Source organism: Homo sapiens, chromosome 10 (genome assembly GCF_000001405.40).
Source record: "Homo sapiens chromosome 10, GRCh38.p14 Primary Assembly".
NCBI classification, from domain to species: domain Eukaryota; kingdom Metazoa; phylum Chordata; class Mammalia; order Primates; family Hominidae; genus Homo; species Homo sapiens.
The window spans coordinates 110,175,681-110,183,373 of record NC_000010.11 but is presented as its reverse complement, the minus strand read 5'-3'; positions in this window follow the sequence as shown (position 1 = coordinate 110,183,373).

The window sequence follows — 7,693 nt, the reverse complement described above, 5'->3', positions numbered from 1 at the left end:
AGGAAACCTCCCTGGAAGAGAATAGCTGGATAGACATTTGTACATTGTTGAGGTTAGAGAAAGGTTTTATCCAATTGTCCTGGAGTTTATTTGCTCCCATCAGCTATGTATGAAGATGTCCACTTCTTATCCCTTCTCCCCAACACACACACTGTCTTCATCACTTGAGTGTCATTCTAATTTTCAAGAAGCTGCCAATTAATTTGTGATTTGCTCTTAACATATGCATAAAGGTTTATGCGGATGATTCTCCCATGGCAATTGGCACTTCATTTTTATTTTTTATTTTTTATTGAGACTGAGTCTTGCTCTATTGTCCAGTCTGGAGCACAGTGGCATGATCTTGGCTCACTGCAATCTCCGCCTCCTAGGTTCAAGCAATTCTCATGCCTCAGCCTTCCGAGGAGCTGGGATTACAGGCGCCCACCACAATAACCACCTAATTTTTGGATTTTTAGTAGAGATGGAGTTTCACCATGTTGGCCAGGCCGGTCTCGAACTCCTGACCTCAAATGATCCACCCGCCTTGGCCTCTCAAAGTGTTGGGATTACAAGCGTGAGCCACCATGCCTGGCCAGCAATTGGCACTTTAAACGTGGGTGTCTGAGAAGGGTCGTGTAGCCCCTTTAGTGGATCATCCCTCTGTAACATCTGCATCTGGCACTAAGAGATTGGGTGTCCCTCAACTACCACTGCCTCAGTAGAAGATGATTTGCAAGGAGTACTTTACTCCCTGCCCCTTTTGGGAAGAAATGATTCCACTAAAAACTGCTGAGCCCAAATCTAAGCAGTGCCAACCCCTAGGGACAGACCCAGGTCATCTCTTCTCAGACTTCCAGGTTCACCACCCTCAGTGGTGGCGGTGCCCACTAGACCATCTCAGGTTTCAAATTCCAATTAGGAATCCCTGCACTTGCCACCTTCTCTCTTGTGGAGCTTATCCAAAGCTACAGGCAAGTGGCACTCAGTCCACATCACTGACTATCAGGCCAGTGCCTTGGAGCCACATTGAGAGAAAACAGCATGGGTCTTGAAACAAGGGAGATGAGAATCTTGGGCCTCAACTTTCCAGCAGGGGCATCTGGGACATGGAATGAAACCTCTTCCTTCTTTATTTTATCTGTCTGGGCAGGAGGAAGAAGGGAATCCTGTTCCATATCGCTTTCAACCCAACAGGATTGGACAGTGAAAGAATGCGTGATGGGAAAGAAGACTTCAAGCCCTCAGGACATACTTGCCTTGTGGCTACCACCATTGTTATCGATAGTATCAGCTAACATGTGCCAAGTCCTGACCGCTTTGGGCCAGACACATATCACTGAACAAACATTAGCTCATTTAATCTTAGCAACAACTCTACCAGGTAAGTACTAGCATTATCCCTATTTTACTGATAAGTAAACTAAGGCATGTAGAGGTCAAGTGATTGCCCGAATTCCATAGCTAGTCAGTGAGGGAGCTGAGAATCTTACCAGGGTGGTCTGACCCTAGAGCCCATGTCCTTACCAATGTGTGGAATTGCCTTTGTAATAATCACAGTGATATCTGCCACTAGTCACTGAGCAGGGACTAGGTGCCTGGCACTGTGCTGAGAACTTGAAATGCAGTCTCGCTTAATCCTCTCCACCCCTGGTGAGGTGAGGATTACGGTCTCCAGTTTACAGATGAGTAAACTAAGGTCCTGACAGATTCGATGACTTGTCCAGGGGCCAGGAGAGCCCTGACCGTAATAGCCCACACACTGCTTCTTCAGCGGCCCGCGAAGCCCTGATCAGCCCTGACCACAGGATGCGGAGGACAGCATCTGTGTACACACACGCTCCCCAGGACCCCTGGAAAATGACACCCCTCCTACTGCTCCCTGGCTTATCTCCTAATTAAGCATTTTGTCAGGGCAAGTGGCTTTTTGTCCGCAAAACAGAACTCTTCTTTCCTACAGAAGAAAGCAATTTCCCCCATGTCAAAGTTGCCAATATCTTTTCATTGTTGCTTCCTGGAGCCGGGACCTGGGTGACACTATCAACAATGTGGTTTCTTGCAGCGCCCCCAGCCCTCCCACCCACTCCAGCCTTCCTGGGGGCTTTGGGCTTATCTTCAGGTACAGTGTTATCAGTTTTCAAAGCCAGCAGGCTTGCTTTATTTCCACAGAAGAGAAGCTTTTAGGCCCTGACTAGATTTGGAATGTCTGTCCTAACCAGGACCAGAAGTGGCCTTCAAAGGCCTTGGAACTTCATCCTTCTGGGAGAGGGGCTCTGAGACCAGCCATGGTCTCTGGCTTCTTTTTCAAAACTAAAAAGTTTATCTTTACACATAAAAACATTTGAAATAACACAGAAGTATATAAGATAGTGTAAAAAGTATAATTCACATTCATTCTGTTATACCCCCATACATGCACTACAATCCTTCTGGATTTTTCCTTCTATGTTTGCATTTAGCTATGCAAACATTTTTAAAAAAATTTTTTTTAGAGATAAGGTCTCACTATGTTGCCCAGGCGAGCCTCAAACTCCTGGGCTAAAACAATCTTCCCGCCTCAGCCTTTTGGGTAGCTGGGATTACATGCACTCACCACAATCTCTGGGATTTTAATAATTTTAACTTTAATTAATTAATTAATGTTTCCATCTATGCAAACATAGACATATGGGATTTTATAGATGTACACTTTTTTAGACACAGAAAATAATACAGTATACATTATGATTTGTTTCCCTACATAAAAATACATTTTTTAATATATTCATATATGTATGTATCTTTGTGTTCTTCCCATTCTTTTGAATAGGCAATAGTGTTCAATAGTATGGATGTGACTTTTCCCCTCTCTATTTTGTTTATTAAAATAGTTTCTTTTTTTTTTTTTTTGAGATGGAGTCTTGCTCTGTTGCCCAGGCTGGAGTGCAGTGGCGTGATCTTAGCTCACTGCAACCTCCACCCCCCAGGTTCAAGGAATTCTCCTGCCTCAGCCTCCCTGGTAGCTGGGATTGTAGGCGAGCACTACCACGCCCGGCTGATTTTTGTATTTTTAGTAGAGACGGGGTTTCGCCATGTTGGCCAGGATGGCCTCTAACTCCTGACCTCAAGTGATCCACCCACCTCGGCCTCCCAAAGTGCTGGGATTACAGGCTGAGCCACCGTGCTCAGCCTAAAATCATTATTTTATTTATTTATTTTTTGAGACGGAGTCTCGCTCTGTCACCCCGGCTGGAGTGCAGTGGTGTGATCTTGGCTCACTGCAACCTCCGCCTCCTGGGTTCAAGATCAACCAACAAGCAAATAACAAAACTCTTGGCTGGGTGTGGTGGTTCATGTCTGTAATCCCAACACTTTGGGAGGCCGAAGTGGGAGGATTGCTTGAGTTCAGGAGTTTGAGACTAGGCTGGGCAACATAGCAAGACCTCTTCCCTATTAAAAAAAAAAAAAAATTAGCCAGGTGTGATGTGCACCTGGAGTCCCAGCTACATGGGAGGCTGAGGTGGGAGGATCACTTGAGCCCAGGAGTTCAAGGCTGCAGTGAGCTATGATTTCCCTACTCCACTCCAGCCTGGGTAACAGGATGCGACCCAGCTCAAAACAAACAAATAAACCAACAAACAAACAACAAACTCTTCCCTCAGCTCCATCTTTTCTTCTGTTCTGCATTACATTTTTAGAAAGAGCATTCTCAAGGTCTCCACATCGTCTTCCAAAACAACTTGTCTGCTCCATCTCCAAAACCATCAGCTTTATTGGGACCCTCCTTTTCTTGCCCCTTAACGGTTGCATCCACCTTCTGAAGGGTTTCCCGTCTATCTTCTGTCTGGGTCCATCCTCGTTGCAGCTCACCAAGAGGAGCTCTCCAAAGCCCCCAGGTCCCCATTCCTGACTCAGCCAGGATTCTTCGCACTTGATTCTACTGCTTGTGGGATGACCAGCAGAGGAGTTCATGAGTGGGCTGTTATCTCCCACCCTCAAAGCGTGGTCGGTCCTCATGGGGATAGCAGGAGGGAGGGAGGTGGTAAAGGGCTGTATCTAAATCACAGACTGTACTGGCAGATATGCTTGTGCATGTGGAGAATATCTCCGGAAGGATACCCAAGAAACCAGGTGGCAGGGTGGTGGGAGTCCAGGAGTGAGAGAGAGAGACACCTTTGTTCATTGAGTCACAATTATTGACATGAATCAATAAACAAAAGGTGTCTCATTGTTATTGAGTCACAATTTGTCAGGTACTGTTTTAGGCACTGGGGATACATTAGTGGACAAGACAGACACAGTCTATGCCCCTTTGCACGGCTCATATCTTCCCATGTGTGCATTCTCTTTACAAAAAATAAATAACCTGACCAACATGGTGAAACCCCGTCTCTACTAAAAATAAAAAAATTAGCCAGGCATGGTGGCAGCACTTGTAATCCCAGCTACTTAGGAGGCTGAGGCAGGAGAATTGCTCAAACCCAGGAGGCAGGGGATGCTGTGAGCCGAAATCAGGCCACTGCACTCCAGCCTGGGTGACAGAGCAAGACACTATCTCAAAAAAAAAAAAAAAAAAAAAGAAAAGAAAACCCAAAAAACAAGAAAAGACAAAAATCTCAGCTAAAGGTAACCCAAGCCCTCTAGTTGCAGAGCCATAATAACATCTCAGCCTGGCCAGGCATGGTGGCTCATGCCTGTAATCCCAGCACTTTGGGAGGCCAAGTTGGGCAGACCACAAGGTCAGGAGTTTGAGACCAGCCTGGCCAACATGGTGAAACCCCGTCTCTACTAAAAATACAAAAATTAGCTGGGTGTGGTGGTGCACGCCTGTAGTCCCAGCTACTCAGGAGGCTGAGGCACAAGAATCACTTGAACCCAGGAGGCGGAGGTTGCAGTGAGCCGAGATCACACCACTGCACTCCAGCCTGGGCGACAAAGTGAGACTTTGTATCAAAATAAAAATCAAAATAATTTTAAAAAAAATAACATCTCAGCCTGATGACTGGTATGCTTTATGAAACCATCACAACACCTTCCAAGTCAGTAGGAAAAGCCCTGGAGTTGGAATTGGAGACCAGAGTTCAGGTCTCAGCTCCAAACACACATCTGCACCATGTGACCTTGAACAGGTCACTTATTCTTGGAGTCTTGGCTTTCTTCTCTGTGACATGAAAAGAACTATAATTCCTGCTTGCTTACCTCACAGTGTTGTTAAGAGAGAATCCATTGGAATAGGGTTCCCAAAGGGCTGTGTAATTGGTAGAGCACCGTACGGTTATGGGGGGATTATTATTTTTTTTCATAACCAGACACTTACTCTGTGATTTTTTTTCCTGTACTCTCTTTCATCTATAAGTGGAGAAAGGCGCTTTGGGCAAAGCCAGATAAATCTGACTTGATCATCGGGAGATGGAGAAGGTTGTGGCGGTTTCTCCTCCTCCCCTTCCTCAGAAGGGCCCCGGCCTGGAGTTTCTGACCTACTGTGCGGGGCTCTCTGCCCCAGTGTGGGAGGGGAGAAGTGAAATGGCAATTACCATGTGATGCGGCTAGTGTTGCAGACGTCAGCCCAGGGCCTGCACAGAGCACATTTCTCCAACATAGGGAATCCGAATCTGGGGACCGGTGGCCAGGGCTGGCTTCTAGGAAGGTGACCATAATGCTGAGTTCAAACAAATGAACAAGTAGAAAGGCAAAGAAAGGAGAAAGGGCACTCCAAGCGGAAGGAACAGCAAATGCAAAGGCATGGAGGTTCTTAGAAATATAAAATAGGTTCAGGCCGGGCGCGGTGGCTCACTCCTGTAATCCCCAGCACTTTGGGAGGCCGAGGCGGGCGGATCACGAGGTCAGGAGATCCAGACCATCCTGGCTAACACAGTGAGAACCTGTCTCTACTAAATAATACAAAAGACTAGCCGGGCGTGGTGGCTGGCGCCTGTAGTCCCAGCTACTCGGGAGGCTGAGGCAGAAGAATGGCAAGAACCTGTGAGGCGGAGCTTGCAGTGAGCCGAGATGGCGCCACTGCAGTCCAGCCTGGACGACAGAGCGAGACTCCGTCTAAAAAAAAAAAAAAAAGAAATATAATAGGTTCGGGGCCGGGCGCGGTGGCTCACGCCTGTAATCCCAGCATTTTGGGAGGCCGAGGCGGGCGGATCACCTGAGGTCGAGAGTTCGAGAACAGCCTGACCAACATGGAGAAAGCCTGTCTCTACTAAAAATACAAAATTAGCCAGGCATGGTAGCGCATGCCTGTAATCCCAGCTACGCAGGAGGCTGAGGCAGGAGAATCCCTTGAACCTGGGAGGTGGAGTTTGCAGTGAGCCGAGATCGCGCCATTGCACTCTAGCCTGGGCAACAAGAGCAAAACTCTGTCTCACAAAAAAAAAAAAAAAAAAAGAAATATAATAGGTTCGGGACCTTAAATGGGACAGCCAAATTCATAAGACTGGCCAGCTCATACTTTTAGCTTTTGGGCTTTCCAAAGCTCAAATTACATCTCAGTTTGCTCTTATCCAGCCTCGAGGTCCTGTAGGCTGTGTCCCTGCCCCGGAGCATAACTCCACACAGTTGTGGAAGCCAGGGAGCGCCAACAGTTGGCCGGTCAACCTTGACTCCTTTTCCATAAAGGGTTTGGGCTGCAGCTTCATCTCCTGAAATACATCTGCCTTGTGAACAGCCAGTCTGCCGTGAAAGAGTTTCTCACTGAAGGCAATTTTGTTATTAGGAAAAAAAAAAGCCCCTGTCACCCCTTTCCTCTCCTAACTCCCTGACATGAGTCCGTGTCATTAGTTACTCGCTTCAGCAGTTTTATTATGGAAATGACATATTGAAATACAAATTGGGACGCGTACAGTATAATTACTAATACTGCATATTCATTTCCTCCCTTTGTTACTGTTGAGTCCCCATAAAGCCCTCTCCCCAGCCACGTCCCAGTCCTGTGTGCAGTGGCTTCTGTGTCTCTTTTCTTCTGAGGGCCAGGCGGGGCTGAGAGGGGAAACGCAGCCAGAGGAAGTACCTGCCTTCCCCAAGAAGGGCTATTTTTGTGACAATGCTGAGCTGAGGCGGCAATCGGGGACTCCGAGGTCCAAAGGCTTCCCAGCTCGTCCCAGGCAAACAGCTCTCTGACTGAGCCAGACATGGAAAGTCCCAGCCAGGGGACGTTTTTAAAAAATTAAATGCACCAAAACAAGCATTTCCAGTGATATAAGGGCCAGTGGCCTGGGCTGGGCTATGCCATCCTCCAGGGCCCCTTCCCTTTCTTCCCTCGGCACCTTCTCAGGAGAAGGAGGTCACAGAAGCTGGGCAATTTGGACACCTATCAGGGTGGCACAGGCAGGCATTCTGTGCTGTGTAACCTACCCCATCTCCCTCAGCAGCCTTGGTTTCTGCCCCTCCCCAGGGGAGCATCATGCTGCAAATACTGTATGCACAAGTGGCTAAGAGAGTGACTTCTGGGTTGTAATCTCAACTTTCTGCCACTTAACAGAGAGTGCTTCTTAGGGAAAATTTGCCTTGTCCCTTTGTAACTCAATATCCCCATCTGTAAAGTGGGACTACTAGCAGTTTCCATCTCAAGGAGGTATTATTAGGATTAAATGTTTTAATTAGGCAAACATGTTAAACAGAAATATTAGTTTTTTTCCCCTTTGGGCAGCAGGAAATATTGCCTCCCCTGCTCCCCTGACCCTTGCCCCCCTCCTTTGGCCAGCAGTGACAGGTGGGCCAGTTCTGAGCC